Source organism: Homo sapiens, chromosome 6, assembly GCF_000001405.40.
Source record: "Homo sapiens chromosome 6, GRCh38.p14 Primary Assembly".
NCBI classification, from domain to species: domain Eukaryota; kingdom Metazoa; phylum Chordata; class Mammalia; order Primates; family Hominidae; genus Homo; species Homo sapiens.
This window is the reverse complement of record NC_000006.12, coordinates 134,481,233-134,501,913: the sequence shown is the minus strand read 5'-3', so window position 1 is coordinate 134,501,913 and position 20,681 is coordinate 134,481,233. Positions and strand designations below refer to the sequence as shown.

The 20,681-nt window shown below is 38.6% G+C and overlaps 1 long non-coding RNA gene across 4 annotated transcripts in view, besides 1 other annotated feature; it reads right to left on the bottom strand.

The window, feature by feature from the left end:
- Window positions 1-20,681, bottom strand: part of LINC01010 (long intergenic non-protein coding RNA 1010) — a 66,305-nt gene that overhangs the window by 2,107 nt on the left and 43,517 nt on the right. The window lies entirely within an intron of this gene.
- Window positions 14,075-14,286: a silencer, noted in NCBI's record as "fragment chr6:134808766-134808977 (GRCh37/hg19 assembly coordinates)". NCBI's record gives its function as "represses an EF-1alpha promoter that drives an FKBP-Casp9 reporter gene in an ReSE screen in K562 erythroleukemia cells {active_cell/tissue: K562}" and the evidence as "EXISTENCE:reporter gene assay evidence [ECO:0000049][PMID:32094911]".

Genomic DNA, 20,681 nt, shown 5'->3' with positions numbered 1-20,681 from the left:
GTCGGGAGCTTGAGACCAGCTTGTCTAACATGGTGAAACCCTGTCTCTACTAAAAATACAAAATTATCCGGGCATGGTGGTACATGCATGTAATCCCAGCTACTCAGGAGGCTGAGGCAGGAGAGTTGCTTGAACCTAGGAGGCAGAGGTTGCAGTGAGCCAAGATCCTGCCACTGAACTCCAGCCTGGGTGACAGAGCAAAACCTCGTCTTAAAAACAAAACAAAATAAAAAAAGCAAAAGTGTTCACGTGGCACTGGAGGGCCACTGAAGTATTAGCAGGGGAGTGCCATGAGGAAGCTAGGCTTTAGGAAGACTGCTCCAGCAATGCTAGATTGGGGCAAGGGTGGAGGGCAAGGAGGAAGAAGGTGAATGCCTAGAATTGGTACAATAAGTTATTTGATATCAGGCTATTAAAATAATCTTCAATTAAAGGAGATTCTTAAAGAAAATCAAATATGCCATTTTCAAGTACTTATAATAATGTGATCTTATGATTAAAACACAACTGTCATCTTCGGTCCTGATAAATGTGCTATAGCAAAGAATTTAGATTGTATATTCCTACCATGAGTCTTACATGGAAATGGATGAAGGTAATGCTTAAAAATAATTTGTTCTCAGATTAAGCAAACCACCTCCCCTCCCCAACAAAATGGTTTTGAAATCTATAATTTCTATTAACATCTCTTTCATAGTTAGTACAAAAATAAACAAAGCTAGTTCATGCTCACATAACTAAAAATTATCCATGAATGAGCATGTGTTAATCAACCAGAAGTTTGAAGGTACAAATAACATCAAAAATCATTAAAAAATTAAAAAAACAAAATTCACTCCCAATCCCATTACTCAAACACCAACTGTTGTTTTTCATCTTCCCATGTTCTTTTTACCAGGTTTTGTTCATATGTTGCTGCGTCACTTTTTATGATGGTGAAACTGTGTTTACTCATAACAATAGAGATAGTGAAATTGACAATCTTTGTCCCTAACATAAGAATAGTTACCCTACTTTTTTTTTTTCTGAGACAGGGTGTCATGCTGTCACCCAGGCTGGAGTGCAGTGGCACGATCTCGGCTCACTGCATCCTCCGCCTGCCGGGCTCAAGTGATCCTGCCGCCTCAGCCTCCTGAGTAGTTGGGTTTACAGGTGTATTCCCCCTCGCCTGGCTCATTTTTGTATTTTTTGTACAGATGGGGTCTCACCATGTTGCCCAAGCTGGTCTCAAACTCCTGGGCTCAATTAATCCCCATCCTCTACCTCCCAAAGTGCTGGGATTACAGGTGTGAGCCACTGCCCCCCGGCCAACCCTACTATTCTCAAATGAGATTTGCACCTTGGCAGATGGCAGTATGAAGTAGAGTTTTCACTGCTTTCAGGCTCTTCAAAGTAAGGACCATACTATGGCATCTTCTTGAGGAAGCTTGATTAAATCCAGCAAAGTGCCCTGCAGTTAACTGTCTTCTGCTTCAACTGGCTGAGTAAATAACAAAGGGTGACAACTGCAGTACTTTCTTTGTGCGTGTGCTTGTGTGTCTGTGTTTTTGTTGACAAGTTAGACACTAATCTCTCTAGTGAGTTGAACATTAAGCAGGTTGTATGTCTTCTGGAAAAATATCTGCATAAGGATTTTAAAGAAATTAAGCCCTGGCTATTTATTTGTAATATGTTTCTGAGATTTAGTCATTCTTGTTGAAAAGGAATGTTTTAACATTTACTCCATTAATATTTGAGTACTGTTATATTCAGTCTAGTTATATAGATTGTGCGTCCAGATTCACTTGTCACTTAATGAGTTGTCCCCAGTGAACCAGATTTGCCTGCCTAGAGGCAATGGTCTGGGAGGCACTGAATTTATTCAGAGGATTTTGGTTTGTTTGCTTTAAGAACACTTGTTAGCAAAACCTAAAACTTGAAAATTATCCAAATCCACTACCAGAATATAGCTACAACAGCTCCAATCTAGTGATAAAAGTAGAAAAAGTTTTGATTCCCAATGACCTTGATTTATATAAATTTGCATGTACATGATAATCTTTGCTTGTGAGTTGTAGAAGCAAACATGAAATGAGGTGATATTACTTTTGGGAGTTGAATACATGCTATGAAAATAAAACCAAATTCAAATAAAGCCAAAATGTTAAAATGTTTGATATTTCATCACAGCAGGGGTCTCATACCACCGTATCTGTCATGAAGTTTATCCCACTGCAAAAAATAAATAAATAACATTTTGTAATATTTTTTAAAAACTAAAATATATTTTCATAGTTCAGGTTTTTATTCCATGAACTGATGTTCCATGTGATATCTATTCCACAAGACCCAAACCAAAAATTATCTGTGCAGGAAGATGTTGTTACAGTTAATGGTCTCCACTAAGGATTAAAATACTCACTGTTTCAAAGTTTTATGGAGAGATCAACATTTTACATAAAAACATTTTTCACCATAAATTTTTCTTGTGCCTTGCTTTTTTAAAAAAATTAAATACCCTCTGACTCTGAAAAATGTTTCTTAAAAAAATAATAATTAATGGGAATAATAAAATAAATTTATATTGGGAAACTTTTCACAAAGGCTGTCTCAGTATTTTCTCATAAAATCTTGCTTGGCAGCCATTACTGTCATTCATTGATGGGTCAGGACACTGAAGCCTGAATGAATTAAAAGTCTTTTTGATTCTGATACCAAGTCAATAAAAAACCCATGATTTAGTTTCCCAGGACATTGTTCTTTTTATTAGCTTTGTAGAACAAGTATTGATTGTAATAAAACAACAATTGAAAGTCCCCAAACAAGGTTCCTCAAAAATGGTTTTATTGCTTCTGCCAAAGTACTGTGTCGTAGTCAAATGTGTAGCTGTATGCTCAATGTGCTTACCCTGCATTGGTACACCGGCAGCTTTGCTTAGCACAGTTCTAAAGCCCTCTCTTTCTATTTTTCTTTTTTCATATATATATATATATATATATTTATTTATTTATTTTTTTTTTTTTTTTTTTTTTTAAATTTTTTTTGTTGAGATGGAGTCTCACTCTGTCACCCAGGCTGGAGTGCAGTGGCACGATCTCGGCTCACTGCAACCTCCGCCTCCCCGGTTCAAGCAATTCTCCTGCCTCAGCCTCCCGAGTAGCTGGGACTACAGGCATGCGTTGCTACGCCCGGCTAATTTTTTGTATTTTAGTAGAGACAGGGTTTCACTGTGTTGCCCAGGCTGATCGCAAACTCCTGAGCTTAGGCAATCCGCCCCCCTCGGCCTCCCAAAGTGCTGGGATTACAGGCATAAGCCACCGCGCCCAGCCTCTTCTTTATTTTTTCGAAACAAGGTCTCACTCTGCCGCCCAATCTGGAGTGCAGTGGTGTCATCTCGGTACCCTCTCTTAGAAGTGGGAACAAGTGCCCTCTCTCTTCTCCTATGTCCACTCTCCCCTCTTCCAGTGTCCTCCTCCTCACCCAGATACTGCCACATCTAATGAGTTTACAATTATTTTTAAATTTCTTTCCATGAGATGATATCTGCATACCAGCTGGGGATAGAATGTAATCCGTCCTGCAGAAGTTAAACCATGTGTCATGTGAAGAGCAGGAGATGGTAAGTCAGGGACATTTGATGGAAAACCTCTCGGAAATGTCAACCTCAGTATCACATGTTCATCTAACTTCAGATTTCAGAGTTCGTGATATTTGTGCTAGAGCCAGTCATTGGAGTCAGTTCAAGTTTGGAGAAAATTTTCTTCCAAATTAACAAGAGAGAAGGAAGAAGGAGAGAAGAAGAAAGAGGAAGGAAGAAAGGAAGGTGGAAGGAAGGAAGGAAAGAAGAAAGGGGGAAGAAAAATAAAGGAAAGAAAAAGGGGCAAGGATTTTTGTATATGCATGTGTTCCTGCTCTTAGAAGAAAAAAAGTTTAACTAAGTTACTTCATTTAGCCAATGATGATCATTTTTCTTTTTTTCTTTTTCTTTTCTTTTTTTTTTTTTTTTTGAGACGGAGTTTTGCTCTTATTGCCCAGGCTAGAGTGCAGTGGCGCAATCTCAGCTCACTGCAACCTCCGCCTTCCAGTTTCAAGTGATTCTCCTGCCTCAGCCTCCCAAGTTGCTGGGATTACAGATGCCCGCCACCACGCCCAGCTAATTTTTTTTGTATTTTTAGTAGAGACGGGGTTTCACCAAGTTGGTCAGTCTGGTCTCAAACTGCTGACCTCGTGATCCATCTGCCTTGGCCTCCCAAAGTGCTGGGATTACAGGCATGAGCCACCGTGCCCGGCCAATGAAGATAATTTTTCTTAGAGAATCAATAAATTTCATCTAGCCAGTGGTCTCATTTCTGCAGATGCATATTAGAGGTTATTAATAGGGGAATAATGATGTGATCAAACAATCAGACAAAAATATAGTATATTCAGGTTGAAGAACAACACAATTGCTCCTGAGAACTCACCTTGAATAGCTGCAGCATATGGTTGTAGGAGTGGTTGGGGTCCACACACTTTAGGTTTTGTCTGTGATTAGGAAGGAACATTAAGTAGACCTGATCCCCTAGCATTCTCGTCTCAGTAGGCATCACCACCAGCTTCTCAGGTGCAAGCCTGAAACCCATCTGTACTTTACACCTTTCTTCTCTTTACACCAACAAAGAGAGGAAAGAGAAAGAAATCTCTTCCTGACTAATTAGAAGGCAGGTTCACCCTTCTTCATGGTGGCTGTCTTATGTTAGACACTCATTAGGTTTTGACAGTATTATAGCGACAGCGGCTTGATTCTTCCTTTCTAATCCTGCTAGGGTGATCTTCCCAAAACACAAGCACATTCAATTCCCTGTGTTTAAGGAGCTTAAACTCCTCGGATGCCCTGCCCTTGCCTCAGAATAAAATTGAAACCCAGCATACGGAGACTTTAATGAGTCAAACCCTATTTAACTCTCTTGTCTCCACTGTTCATTCCTTTGCCACTGGAACTCCATCCACTTTTCGGATAAAATGATAGGCACGTCAGGCTGGGCGCAGTAGCTCACGCATGTAATCCCAGCACTTTGGGAGGCCGAGGCCAGCCGATCACCAGGTTAGGAGATTGAGACCATCCTGGCCAATATGGTGAAACCCTGTCTTTAATAAAATAAAAAAAAAACAGCTGGGCATGGTGGTGCACACCTGTATTTCCGGCTACTCAGGAGGCTGAGGCAGGGGAATTGCTTGAACCAGGAAGGAGAAGGTTGCAGTGACCTGAGATCGTGCCACTGCACTCCAGCCTGGCAACAGAGCAAGACTCCATCTCAAAAAACAAACAAACAAACAAAAAAGTGCAGTTCCAGAAAAGAGCACATTGTCTTGTGATGTCATGGCTATGCACGGCAGCTCCCTTTGCTGGGTCATCCTCCACTGCTGTTTCTTTTTTTTTTTTTTTTTTTTTGAGACGGAGTCTCGCTCTGTCGCCCAGGCTGGAGTGCAGTGGCGGGATCTCGGCTCACTGCAAGCTCCGCCTCCCGGGTTCACGCCATTCTCCTGCCTCAGCCTCCCAAGTAGCTGGGACTACAGGCGCCCGCCACTACGCCCGGCTAATTTTTTGTATTTTTAGTAGAGACGGGGTTTCACCGTTTTAGCCGGGATGGCCTCGATCTCCTGACCTCGTGATCCGCCCGCCTCGGCCTCCCAAAGTGCTGGGATTACAGGCGTGAGCCACCGCGCCCGGCCCTCCACTGCTGTTTCACCTATTCACCTAGCTGGCTTGGTGCAGGCCTCATCCCTTTCAGGAAGTCTTGCCTGCCCCAGCCTGTTTTAAGTATCTGTTTTTAGTACCCCCAGTATGTTTTAAGGATCTCTCGGAGGCTACACCCATCTTACACTGACCTCTTAACATGCTGCCAACCAGATGTTGTCTATTTTCCTGTCTCCACCCTCAATTTTGAAATCCTTCCCGGCAGGCACCTAACACATTCCTGGCACAGAAGAGGTGCTCAGTACAGTAAATCCTTGCGAAATGATTTAAAGAATTAACGAACTAATAACATGGTAACCGAAAGAAATGAAGGGGCAACATGAACCTGAAGTTTGGAGTGGGCAGTAGTGGCAGTGAGAAAGTTGTTTCTCTGTAGTTTTACCTGAATTGGGTCAAATGAAAAAAATCCGGGAGAACTGGGTTCTAATCAAACTTTAACACTAATTAACTGTCTGCCTCTGTGCAAGTTATGTAACTTCTCTCCACCTGAGCTGACTTTTCTATAAATAACATGAACTCCATAGGTTTTCTGTGAGGGTAAATAAAATATTGTATATACAGTGTCTATAATATTTTTCTAGAACATATTAAGAATATAACAAGAGTTTAATAATTAAGAGTCTAATAAATATTAACTTCAGCCCCTTAAAGTTTAAAGTTTAATATTATCTAAACCTGATGAAATCAACCAATTCAAAGCAACAAAATCAAAGAGCTTTAGACTAGTAATTTCAAATAGAGAGTTACTGATTAAGAAAACAAAAACCTTCTGGCACAGAAGATGAGGAGTAAGAAAAAAGAAGGCTGGGCACTGTGGCTCATGCCTGTAATCCCAGCCCTTTGGAAGGCTGAGGCAGGCAGATCACTTGAGGTCAGGAGTCCTAGGCTAGCCTGGCCAACATGGTGAAACCCTGTCTCTACTAAAAATATAAAAATTAGCTGGGCATGGTGGTGGATGCCTATAATCCCACCCACTTGGGAGGCTGAGGCAGGATAATCACTTGAACCCGGGAGGAGGAGGTTGCAGTAGCCAAGATTGTGTCATTGCATTCCTGCCTTGGTGACAGAGTGAGACCCTGTCTCAAAAAAAAAAAAAAAAAAAAAAAAAAGGCAGATTTAAGCTCCAAAATGGGCTGGACGTGGTGGCTCATGCCTGTAATCCCAGCAGGCTGAGGATTGGAGGCTGAGGCAGGAAGATTACTTGAGCCCGGGAGTTCGAGACTAGACTGGGCACCATGGCAAGACCCTTGTCTCTGGAAAAAAAAAAAAAGAAAAGAAAAGAAAAAAAAGCTCCAAACTGGTGGGGAAAATCAAATTCACAATAGTAATAATGTCTCCACCATTCCCTATGTCTTTTTGCTTCTTTTCTTCCTGTAATACTTCACTTTATAATATTTCCTAGAGAAAGATTTATACACATATCTTAAGTGTACAGTTTGATGAGTTTTGACAAATGTATATACCAATGTAACCAACAGCCTTGTCATGACAGAATAGTTCAATGGCTTCAAAAAAGTTTCCTTGCACCCTTTTCCGGTGAGTTCCTTCATAGACAACAACTGTTCTGATTTATATAACAATATATTAACGGTGCCTTTTCTTAAACTTCATATACAGTAAATGAAATCATGTGTTCACCTTCATACAGCATTAGTCTGTGAGATTCATCCATATGTATGTATGAGTAGTTCTTCATTTTTTTGTGGCTGGGTAGTATTCTTTTTTTTTTCCTTTTTTATTTAAAAAAATTCTGGGGGTACCTAGTAGATGTATATATTTATGGGGTACATGAGATGTTTTGATACAGGCACGCAATATTCTTTTGTATGAATGTCACTGTTTATCCCTTCTCCTGTTAATGGACATCTGGGCTTTTTTCCCCAGCTTAGGATTATAAATGTTCTTGTACGAGTCTTCTTGTAGATCTATATTTTTGTTTCTCTTGGTAAATACATAGGAGTAGAATTGCTGAGTCCTGACATGTTTAGTTTTATTAAAAACTAACAAACAGTTCTCCAAAGTGACTGTATCATTATATACTTCCACCAGCAATGAATGAGAGGTGTAGTTCCCTCCTAAATGTTTGCCAATATTTGGGGTTGTCAGCTTTCTAGAAAAGACTGTTAACATTTTGCATTTCCACTAAACTGTATGGGTTACTCCACATTCCTCACCAGCGCTTGATACTAGCAGTCTTTTTAACCTTAGTCATTCTAGTGAGTGTGTAGTAGGATCTTGCTGTGGTTTTAATTTGCATTTCCCTGTTGACTAGAGATGTTGAGTACGTTTTCATATGCTTATTTGCCATCCGTATGTCTCCTTGTGTGAAGAGTTTGTTCAAATCTTTTTGCCAAATTTTTCATTGTGCTTGCCTTCTTACTATGGAATTGTAAGTTTTTTTATAGATCCTGGACACAAGCCCTTTGACAGACATATGCTTTGCAAATATTTTCTCTCCATCTACAACTTGCCTTTTTACATTCTTCATTGTATCTTTCTAAAAGTATAGGCTTTTAATTTTGCAAAAGTCCATTTTGTCAATGTTGTCTTACGATCAGTGCTTTTCATGTCCTCCTTAAGAAAACTCTGATTAACTGAATGTCACGAAGACTTTCTCCTATGTTTTTATCTATAAGTTTTATTGTCTTAGCTTTTTTTATTTAGGTTTATGATTCATTTTGAGTTACTTTTTGCTTACAGTATGAGGTAAGGGTCAAGGTTAATTTTTTATTAATCCATAGAGATGTATAATTATTTCAGCACTTGTAAAAGACTATCCCTCCCACACTGCATTACTTGGCACCTTTATTGCAAACTAATCAATCATATAAGTGTGGGTCTATTTCCAGATTTTCTATTCTGTTCTATTCATCTATTTGTCTAGCTTTATACCAATAACACACTGTATTGAATAATGTAGTTTTATCATAACTTCTGAAATTACGTATTGTGATAATGTGAAATATCTATTTGGTTTCAGATCTATTTCCTCCTAAAATTTTTAGAATCTCCAAAGCGATGTCCTTTTGTACACTAATGAGTTGACTGATGACTGACAGCCCCTATGTAGCTTCAAGATGGAGACTGGTCACTGGCAAGACCAAGAAATCATTATAGGATTGGGATGGTTACAAGAAAGACCAAGAAATCATTATAGGATTGGGACTTTCAGCCTACCCCATAACCTCTGGGGAAAAGAAAGGGGCTGACAGTTAAGTTGATCACCAATGGCTTAGTTTAATCAATCATGCCTATGTAATAAAACCTCTGTAAAAGCCCAAAAAGGCAGTGTTCAGAGAGCTTCTGGATAGCTGAACACGTGGAGGTTCCTGGGAGGGCATGGAAGCTCCATGCCCCCTCCTCCATACTTCATATGCATCTCTTCATCTATATCCTTTGTAATGTCCTTTGTAATAAACTGATAAACAAATATTTCCCTGAGTTCTTTGAGTCACACTAGAAAATTAACTGAATCCAAGGGGTGGAGGATGGGAACTCCAATTTCTATTTGATGGGTCAAAAGCACAGGTAAAACACCTGGGGTGTGTGATTAGCATTGAAAATGGGACTCAGTCTTGAGGGACCTAATTCTCAATCTGTGTGATCTGATGCTACCTTCAGGTAAGTAGTATTAGAACTGAATTGAATTAGAGGACACCCAGCTGGTGTACACTGCAGAATTGATTGCTTGCTTGTTGGTGGGAAGAAATCACATATTTGGCCACAGAAGTCTTCTGTGTTGACTGTTATGGTGGGTGAGCAGCGGAGAAACAGTTCATGTTTTTCCACTTGGAGATATATATCCTCTAATTTTGATTTTTTTTTTTTTTTGAGATAATCTCGCTCTGTCCCCCAGACTGGAGTGCAGTGGCACAGTCTCAGCTCACTGCAGCCTCTGCCTTCCAGGTTCAAGCAATTCTTCTGCCTCTGCCACCTGAGTAGCTGGGATTACAGGTGTGTGCCACCACACTTGGTTAATTTTTGTATTTTTAATAGAGACAGGGTTTCACCGTGTTGGCCAAGCTGGTCTCAAACTCCTGGCCTCAAATGATCCACCTACCTTGGCCTCTCAAAGTGTGGGGATTACAGACGTAAGCCACCATGCCCGGCTATGTCCTCCAGCTTTGTTCTTCATTTAAAAAATTATTATTGCTATTCTTTGCCTTTGGTTCTCCTTGTAAATTTCATAAGCAGCTTGTTAATTTTTTCAAACAAGCCTATTAGGATTTTTATTGGTATAACATTGAATCTTTAAATCAATTTAGGAAGAATTGCTGTCTTAACAATGTTGAATCTTCTAATCCACAAATATGTATGTCTATATTTATGTCTGCTTTTGCTTTTCTCAGCAAGATTTTGTGGTTTTCAGTGTAAAGTTCTTACCATCTTTTGATAAATTCATGTCTTAGTCCATTTAGGCTCTTATCACAAAATTCCACAAACTGAGTAGCTTGTAAACCACAGAAATTTATTTCTCAGACTCCTGGAGGCTGGGAAGTTCAAGATCAAGGTGCCAGAAATGTCTAGTTCCTTGTAGACAGTGACTTCTTGCTGCATTCTTACATAATGGAAGAGGTAAACAAGCTTTCTTGGGCCTCTTTTATAAGAACACTAGTCCTATTCATAAGGGCTCCACCCTCATGATCTAGTCACCTCCTCAAGGCCTCACCTCTTAACGCTGTCGCATTGGAAATTAAGTTTCAACATACAAATTTGTGGCAGGGAAGGAGGACACAAACATTCAGACCGTAACAATCCCCAAGTATTTTTATGCTATTATAAATGGAATTTTTTTAAGTTTTCTAATTGTTCACTGTTAGTCTACAGAAATATAAATTTTGTTTATTGACCTTGTGTCTTACCATTTTGCATTCACTTATTAGTTCTAGTAACTTTTTGTAGATTCTTTAAAATTTTCTATGTACAAAATCGTTTTATATGTAAACAAATAGAATTTTACTTCTTTTCCAGTTTATATGTTTTTTATTACTTTTTTTGTATATTACATTGGTGAAGACTCCAGTGAAATATTGAGTAACTCCGTAAAAAGTAGATATCTTTCCCTCATTTTTGATCTTAGGAGAAAGTATTCTGTCTTCCAATATTCAGCATAATGTTATCCATTAAGTATTCATAGGTATTCTTAAATCAGATTTAGGAGAAAATCACCTTTTATTCCTACCTTGCTACCTTGCTAAGAGTTTCTATTATAAATGAGTGTTGAATTTTTATAAAATGCTTTTTTTTTCTACGTCAATTGAAATAATCATTTTTCTGGTCTTTGCTCTGTTAATGTGGTGAAATACATTGATTTATTTTCCATTGTTAAACCCTACTTGTTTAATGTGTTGCCCTTTTTATACGTATTACTGGATTTGATTTGCCAAAATTTTGATAGGGAATTTACCACTTATGTTTATTTGGTGTATCAACATAATGTCATTTCTCGTGATGTTTTTGTTTTAGTATCAGGATAATGCTAGCTGCATTTAACGAATTAATTATTCCCTCTTCCTTTGTTTTCTGAAAGAGTTTGTTTTGAACTATTTCATTTCTTAAACATTTAATGAAAATCACCGGTGAAGACCTCTGAGCCTGGAGTTATCTCTGTTCAAAGCTCCTTAATTATGAACTGCGTTTCTATAATTAATATAAGGATATTTAAGTTCTTAATTTTGGGGGGTTCTGATTTGGTAATCTGTTTTTCTTAAGAAATTTGTCTATTTTATCTAAATTGTCAAATTTGTTGGCAAAAGCTACACGTAGCATTCTCTTATGATCTTTTTAATGTTTGTAGAATCTGAAGTGATGCCCCGTTTTCTGATATTGGTAATTTTGCACTTGTGTCTTTTGGCTAGAGTTTTAAGAATTTTATTAACATTTTAAAAGAACAAGTTTTTGTTTTTGTCTGTCTCTATTGCTTGTCCAATTTTCCTTTCATTGATTTCTGCTACCTTTATTATTTTCTCCCTTCTACTTATTTGGGCTTAATTTTTGTGCTTCTTTTTGTAATTTCATAAGGTTGAAATGTCAATCATTGATTTTAGATATTTTTGTTTTTCTTTAATTTATACATCTCATATGTATAAATTAATACCTCTTCATAAAAGAAAAAGATCTAAGAAGAAAGAAAAAGATCTACCTATAGATTTGTCTCAATCACTGTTTTAGCTGCATCCCCCAAATTTTGGTGTGTTGCATTTTTATCACTCAGTTCAAAATATTTCCTAACTTCTTCTTGCAATTTTTTTCTTTAACTCATTAGTTACTTAGGAGATGTTGTTTAATTTCCAAATGTTTGGGGTTTTCCTAGATATCTTGTTTCTATTTGTTTCAAATTTAAACCCATCATGATCAAAGAGCATACTAAGTATGATTTCATTATTTTAGAATCCTTCACTGAAACTTGTTTTATGGCTGAATATATTATCCATCTTGGCAAATATACCACATTGCTTTTGAAAAAAATGCATCTTTTGTATTCTTTCAAATGTTGGGTGTAGGATTCTATAAATATCGAGTAGATCAAGATGGCTGATAATTTTGTAAAGAGCTATGTGTTTCTGATTTAATTTGTCTAGCTGTTCTTTTATCTTTGGGAGAATGGCATTAAAATCTCTAATTATAACTTAGAAATGGCAATTTTTGTTTCCAGTATTTTTAAGTTCTGTTATTAGGCACATAAACATTTATTACTGTTATGTATTTCTAGTGGATTGCCAAATTTATTATTATAGAATGTCCCTCTTTATCTCTGGTGATACTTTTATCTTTAAAATTTTGTTTATATCTTATTTTAATATAGCTACACCAGTCTTCTTACACCTTCTGTTTTCATGGTAAGTCTTTTTCCACCCATATACTTTCCATCTATTTTTCTCTATATATTTAAAGTGCAACTCTTATAAATGGCATATATTTTGGTCTTGCTTTTTATCCATACTATCGCTATATTCTAAATGGAGTGTTTAGATTACATTGGAGTGTTTAGATTAAATGCATTCATGTATTTATTGATATATTTATGATTGGGCCTACGATTTTATTATTTTGTATTTGTTCCTTCTATATTGTGTTTCTTTGTTCCTGTTACCTATTTTTTTAGATACTTGGAATTAAAGTTTATTCTTCCTATTAGCTTTTTAGCTATACTTCTTGGCATTATTTATGTAGGTGATTGCTTTAGGAATTGGACTTCTTACAGTCCACTTACATTTATGCATTATGGTTTCATACAAAATGTAGAAGACTTACAACTCCGTAAGATCCATATTGACTTCCCCCTAATCCTTTATCCTTAGTTGTTACATGTATCACATCTGGATATCTTAGAAACCCCACAAGATAATGATATAGATTGCTTTAAACAGTTATATTGACTATACAAAATTAAGATAAAAAAGCAAAAAAAAAAAAGCATTTTCTAGCCAGACACGGTGGCTCATGCCTGTAATCCCAGCACTTTGGGACGCCAAGGCAGGAGGATCACCTGAGGTTGGGAGTCCAAGACCAGCCTGACCAACATGGAGAAACCCTGTCTCTACTAAAAATACAAAATTAGCCAGGCATGGTGCCTCATGTCTGTAATCCCAGTTACTCAGGAGGCTGAGGCAGGAGAATTGCTTGAGCCTGGGAGGCAGAGAGGTTGTGGCGAGCCAAGATTGTGCCATTGCACTCCAGCCTGGGCAACAAAACTCCGTTTCAAAAAAAAAAAAAAAAAGAGAAAAAAAAAAAGCATTTTCTGTTCACCCAGATGGTTATTAGTTCTAGTGCTCTTCACTCTTATTCATGGTTCTGAGTTTCCATCTCTTTTTATTTCTCTTCAACCTCAAGAACTACCTTTAGCATTTCTCATAGTGTTGGCCTGCTTGCATCAAATCGTCTTAGTTTTCTTTCATCTGAGAATGTTTTTCTTTCTCCTTCATTTCTGAAGGGTATAGAATTCCCAGTTGACAGCTTTCTTTTTCTTGAAGCACTTTGAAGATGTTGTTCTACCCTGCTGGCCTCTGTGGTTTCTCATAAGATCAGCTATTAACTGAATTACTGTTCTCTTATATATATGTGTCATTTTATTGCTTGCCACTTTCTAGATTTGTTCTTTAATTTTGGCTTTCAGTATGTGACTCTGATGATACCTGTTTCTGCAAGATAGGCTTTGGCAAAAATCAAAATTTTAGGTCAAATAACAGCCTCACTGATTCCTTTACTGGCTAGAACGTAAAATGTGTAGAACCACGTCAGGTTTCCAAGGAGAATCTTATCAAATCTTTAAAGAGCATGCAATTTAAATGCTATTGAGATTGACCAGAGCAAAATTCTTTGTATGAAGCAAGTATAATATTAATAACAAAATATGATTTAAAATTTACATAAAAAAGAAAACTACAGAAGAATCTCAAATATGATGACAGTCAGAATCAAATAACACATTTATAAAAATAATACACTGGCCAAGTGCAATGGGTCATGCCTGTAACCCCAGCACACTGGGAGGCCAAGGCAGGAGGATTGCTTGAGGCCAGGAGATTGAGATCAGCCTGGGCAATGTAACAAAACTCCATCTCTAAAAAAAAAAAAAAAAAAAAAATTAGCCAGGCATGATTGCATGCACCTGTAGTCCTAGCTACTTGGGAGGCTGAGGCAGGAAGCTAGCTTGAGATAAAGGCTGCAGTGAGCTATGATCATGCCACTACACTCTAGTCTGGGCAACAGAGAGCAAGACCCAGTCTCAAATAATAATAATAATAAAAATAATATACCATAATCAAGTGGGGTTTACTCTGTAAATCTAAGAATACTTGGCATCATGAAGTCAATTGATACAATTTGTCAAATTTAAGGAGATTTAAAGAGAAAATTCACAAATCATCTCTGCAAATACTAAAAAGATATTTGATACAACAGAATGCCCATTCTTGATTTTTAAAATTCAATAAAATAGAACTTGAAAAGTATTTTGCTAACATGAAAAAGATATATAAATAGAAATCCCAGAACAACACAAGGATGCCCACTATACCACTGGTATTTAATGTTTCATTGGAGGTGTTAACTCTCGCCATTAGATAACAGAAGAAAATCGGTAGTGTAAGAACTGAAAAGGAAGAGGAAAACTAACTCTTAATCCACCTGACAAAGGCCTAATATCCAGAATCTACAAGGAGCTTAAGCAAACTTAGAAGAAAACAAACAACCCCATTAAAAAATACGTGAAAGATATGAACAGACACTTCTCAAAAAAAGACATACATGTGGCCAAGAAATCTGTGAAAAATAGCCCAACGTCACTGATCATTAGAGAAATGCAAATCAAAACCACAATGAGATACCAACTTGTGCCAGTCAGAATGGTGATTATTAAAAAGTCAAGAAACAACAGATGCTGGTGATGTTCCAGAGAAATAGGAACACTTTTACACTGTTGGTGGGAATGTAAATTAGTTCAACCATTGTGGAAGGCAGTGTGGTGATTCTTCAAAGATTTAGAACCAGAAATGCCATTTGACCCAGCAGTCTCATTACTGGGTATGTATCCAAAGGAATATAAATTATTCTGTTCTAAAGACACATGCACATGTATGTTCACTGCAGCACTATTCACAACAGCAAAGATATAGAATCAACCCAAATCCCCATCAATGATAGACTGGATTAAAAAAAATGTGGTACATATGCACCGTGGAATACTATGCAGCCATAAAAAGGAATGAGATCATGCCCTTTGCAGGGACATGGATGAAGCTGGGAGCCATTATCCTCAGAAAACTAACACAGAAACAGAAAACCAAATGCCACATGTTCTCACTTATAAGTAGGAGCTGAACAATGAGAATACATGGACACAGGGAGGGGAACAACACTTACTGGGGCCTGTTGGGGCAGGGTGGGGCTGGGGGAGAGCATTAGGGAAAAGAGCTAATGCATGCTGGGCTTAATACCTGGGTGATGGGTTCATAAGTGCAGCAAACCACCATGGCACACATTTAGCCTATTTAACAAACCTGCACATCCTGCATATATACCCTGGAACTTAAAACACACACACACACACACACACACAGAATAAAAATTTTTTTTAAAGAAAAGAACAAAATAAAAAATGAATGCAGGAAAAAAAATTAATATAGATATAAAACTATTTGCAAATCGTATAATATTTGATTTGTCTTATAAAACACATAAGAGAATTGAATAAAACTGCAATATTTGTAAAGTAGCAAGATTTAAATTAATATGAAAAAGTAGGTAGCCTTCACATTTGCAAACGATATACAGAAAAACAGATAATCTTGCTATTTATAATTGCAATAAGCAAGATAAAATAGCTAGAAGTAAGCTTAACATGAAATGGGCAACACCTGTACCTAAGAAAAACTTTAAAATACTGTTGAAGGAGAAGAAAAGTATACTTAGACAAATGAAACAATGTATCTCATGTTTCTTAATGCAAAGACTCAACATCATTACAATGTTCATTCTACTTAATGAAGCTAACAAAATCCAAGCAAGAATAGCCAACAAACCTTGAAAATCTCCAGATATTGCATATAAGACTTCATTGATTAAAACACTTTAATATTGACCTATGAATGGAGACACCAGTGGACAGAGTAGAAATTCCAAAAACAGGGACAAACACATGTAGGAAATTGAACTGGAAAAGATGGCATCTCAAATCATCTTTAATAAATTGCATGAAGACAATTGAGTAAAAGGCAATGCTGGATCCATAGTTCATAACATACATCACGATAAATACCAAATGGATAAAAAATTTAAATGGAAAAAATAAAATCAAATAAATATTTAAGAAAATATAGATACATTTTATTATAGAACTACAGTTGGGAAGATCTATCTACCTATCATTCCACTTTCAAAACCTAAAGAGAAAATAATGATTAAATCAAATGCATAAAAAGAAAAACCTTAAACATGGCAAACAACAACAACAAAAACACAAACACAGACAAAATCCAAAGACAAAAGAAAAACTAGTCAAAACATTGCAATTTGTAAACAAACGCTGATCTCCTAAGTACCTAATAGCTCCCAGAAATCAAGATTTTTAAAACCTACAGTAATAGGAATGGGGAAAGGACATGACACAAAAGTTCACAAATGGCCCTTAAAGGTATGACAATATTCTGTTTTACTCATGATAAGAAATCAGGCTGGCATGGTGGCTCACCCCTATAATCCCAGCACTTTGGGAGGCTGAGGTGGGCGGATCATTTGAGGCCGGGAGTTCGAGACCAGACAGGCCAGCATGGTGAAACCCCATCTCTACTAAAAATACAAAAATTAGCTGGCCATGGTGGCACACATACAAGGCCTGTAATCTCAGCTACTGGGGAGGCTGAGGCATGAGAATCATTTGAACCTGGGAGGTTGAGTTTGCAGTGAGCCAAGACAGTGCCACTGCACTCCAGCCTGGGCAACAGAGAGAGACCCTGTCTCAAAAAAAAAAAAAAGAAAAAAAGAAAAAAGAAAAAAGAAAAAAAAAGAAATCAAATATTAAAACCACACTAAGAAAACACTTGTCATCTGCTGGATTGGCAAAATCCAGAAGTGTGATACACTTCCTTGGGCAAGGCTGTGTAGGAACAGGTACCCTCAAACATTTATTGGTGGGGGAATAAAATGCTACAACGTTCCAGGAAGAGAGACTGGCAATAGCTATCAACATTACAGATGCATTTACCCTTTAATCCCCCAACATCATGTCTCAGTATCTAGCCATTAGTTACACCTGTACACATAAAAAATAGCACATGAAAAAGGATGCTTCTGGCAGCATTGTTTGCAATAAAAGAGACTGAAAACTACTCAAGAGTCCAACAACTAGGAGACTGGTTGCATAAAATCTAATACATTCAGGTATTAGAATAATCTGCAGCTGTCAAAAAGAGTGAGAAGGATGTCACATATGGACATGGAGAAAGCTCTATGATATATTAAGTGAAAAGAAAGGCAAGGTGTGGAACAGAAAAACCATATCTTTTGTATAAGAGAGAAATAGAAGAATATTCATATGTGTATAACAAAATAGTGTAAAGATAAACAGAAACTCAAATAATAATGTAGAGTGGGCAAAGGAGGAATTTGGTGGATAGAACAGAGAAGGGCAAAATGTCCCAGTGTACCTTCTTAGACAGATTTTTATTTTTATTATTTTTTTTTAGAGTCTTGCTCTGTTGCCCAGACTAGAGTGCAGTGGCATGATTTCAGCTCACTGCAACCTCCACCTCCAGGGTTCAAACGACTCTCCTGTCTCAGCCTCCCGAGTAGCTTAGACTATAGGTGCATGCCACCACAGCCAGCTAATTTTTGTATTTTTAGTAGAGATGGGGTTTCATTATGTTGGCCAGGCTGGTCTTGAACTCATGACCTTAAGTGATCCTCCTGCCTCGGCCTCCCAAAGTGCTGAGATTACAGGCGTGAGCCACCACGCCCGGCCTTAGAGAGTTTTGATTTTTCTTTTTTTCTTTTTTTTTTTAAGACAGAGTCTTACTCTGTTACCCAGGTTGGAGTACAGTGGTGCAATCTCAGCCCACTGCAACCTCCACTTCCTGGGTTCAAGTGATTCTCTTGCCTCAGCCTACTGTGTAGCTGGGATTACAGGTGTGCACCACCATGCCACCATGCCACCATGCCCAGCTAATTTTTGTATTTTTAGTAGCAGAGACAGGGTTTTCCCATGTTAATCAGGCTGGTCTCCAACTCCTGACCTCAGGTGATCTGTCCACCTTGGCCTCCCAAAGTGTTGGGATTACAGGCGTGAGCCACTGCACCTGGCCAGTTTTGAGTTTTGAGCCATGTTCAAAAAATTTTTTTGAAGGGAAAATAAGATATGGGAAATTTTCCAAGAATGTTGTTATTTAGTAAAATAACGCATGGCTTCTGTCTTGCTAGTTGTGGTCTTGGGGGTGGTCACATGTGGGAGAGACTTATCTGGCCAGGAAGACGGGGCAGAGTATAGGGCGTCAGTGCTCACAGAGGCGGCAGCCAGGCCTTAAGCCATCCAGAACGGTCAGGACATTAGCACAGTTTATCTTGGCCCCACGCACGGCCTGATTCCACTCATTGTCTTGGCTCCCTGTGGTAGCTAGCAGGTCATGGGGCTGCCTTGGGAAAAAAAAGTAATGGGCTATCCAGGCAGGTTCCACTCCCCGTAATCTGTCCCTGAGGAAGGTCCCGAGAAACATTAGCAAGACTTTTCTTTGAAATGCCTTTCTATAATTACTTTTTCTGTCTCAGGAAGACAGTTTCATTGCACCTAATCTAAATTTAGGTTTCCTGATTCCATTCCATTCCTCATGGAAACAGTTTGGACGATCCAAATAACGACCGCCTTCACTGATGTTTTAAGGAGGTGAAATTCATACATGATTCCCCTCACCAGAGCTTAAGCTAGCTAAGGGTGAACAGCCTCGAGTGTTTCCCCTGGTAGCCCTGGGGAAACTGGAGCTGTGGACTTGTTCACACTGTTGCTCAAGTTTCCTGACCTTCTGGGGCAATGAGACAAAAAAAAAAAAAAATGACTAGTTCTAGCATTGTCCTTTTAGCTTTGCCTCTAGCATCCTTTAAAAGACCATATTCTCCACAATTCACAGAAATGGAGGACAGCATTAATGTTGACAAAAAGTACAGGTAACTGTCCCAGGGCCCCGACAGATGCCCCTAGGGCCAGATGAAAGTGCTATCTGCCTTAATTCAAACTGTGCAGCGGGGAGATCAAAGACTGAAGGACAGTCACCCCACATTCTGTCCTCTCAGGAATATGCAGCAAACAGTAATGAAAATATATGCCTAACCCAGGTGTATAAGATCCCTCTGCCTTCCAGCTGGCGTGTCCTCTAACTCCTTGCTACTGAAAGCATGGTCTATACATAGACCCTAGGATCAGCCGCACCAGGGAGCTTGTTAAAAATGCAGAGTGTCAGGCCCTACCCCAGATATGCTGAACCAGAATCTGCATTTTAACAAGATCCCCAGGTGACTCACAATCACATTCAAGTTCACAGAAAGCTGCTCTGACCTGTGGGTGCAGGCAGAATGTTACGTCATTCTGGTCTGTGCTCTTCCTTTTACCTGCCCTTCTCTCACGATTGAAACATCTTCCAGGTACGGAGTCTTAGTCCACCCTATAGGTGCATGGGAACCACGGAAGCAAAGGGGTGGGAAGAATCTCCCTTTCCTGGCCATCCTCTCCTCTCCATGTCCACAAAGCAAAACCACCAGTCAGCAGCTCAAAGCAACTATCCCTATTTTGGAAACTGGGGACACGTTTAGGAGCACTTCCTAAACTAGGAGAGGGTAAGTTAAAGCTCTCACCCATTTGAACTCTACCCATCTCAAGATTCCTCTTCTACAGTTCCATCCACCTCCCAGGCATGGGGGCGGCCTTCCTCCCCCCACTCAAAAAGAGCTCTGACGTCTCACTCTTCCTACCATCCTCCCTTCACCCTTGCAATGAGCCATATCTGTGAATTTCTTTCTCAAGTTCTAGGTTTCAGTTAGGCAGGGACTGGTGCTGGTGACTCTAGGGCCCCTTGTTGGTGGTGGAGATGGCACTTCCTGATCTGATTTGCTGCTCAACTTTCGCACCAGTGTGAGTTGCAGATGGATGAGTTCTTCTAACTGGGGGACTTATTAAAATAGTTTCTCATGGAGAGGCAGTTCAGTGTAGTGGATAGAGCAGAGTATGGAGCCAGAATCCTTGAATCAAATCCCAAATCGACCTACAATAGCACCAGGTAGGCACTGGATAAGTATCTGCTATCCTTATATAGGTGCAAATAATGTCTGGAAATATTTCAGAATGCTGCAGGCTTGTGAATTGAAAGAGCAATTTGAAGTGATTATCTGAGAGCTTCATACAGGCTCACTGCAGGGAAAAGTAACATTTATGCTTAGGAGCCCCAAGACCATTTGCAATAGGTAGAGAGGAATCAATGTTTCT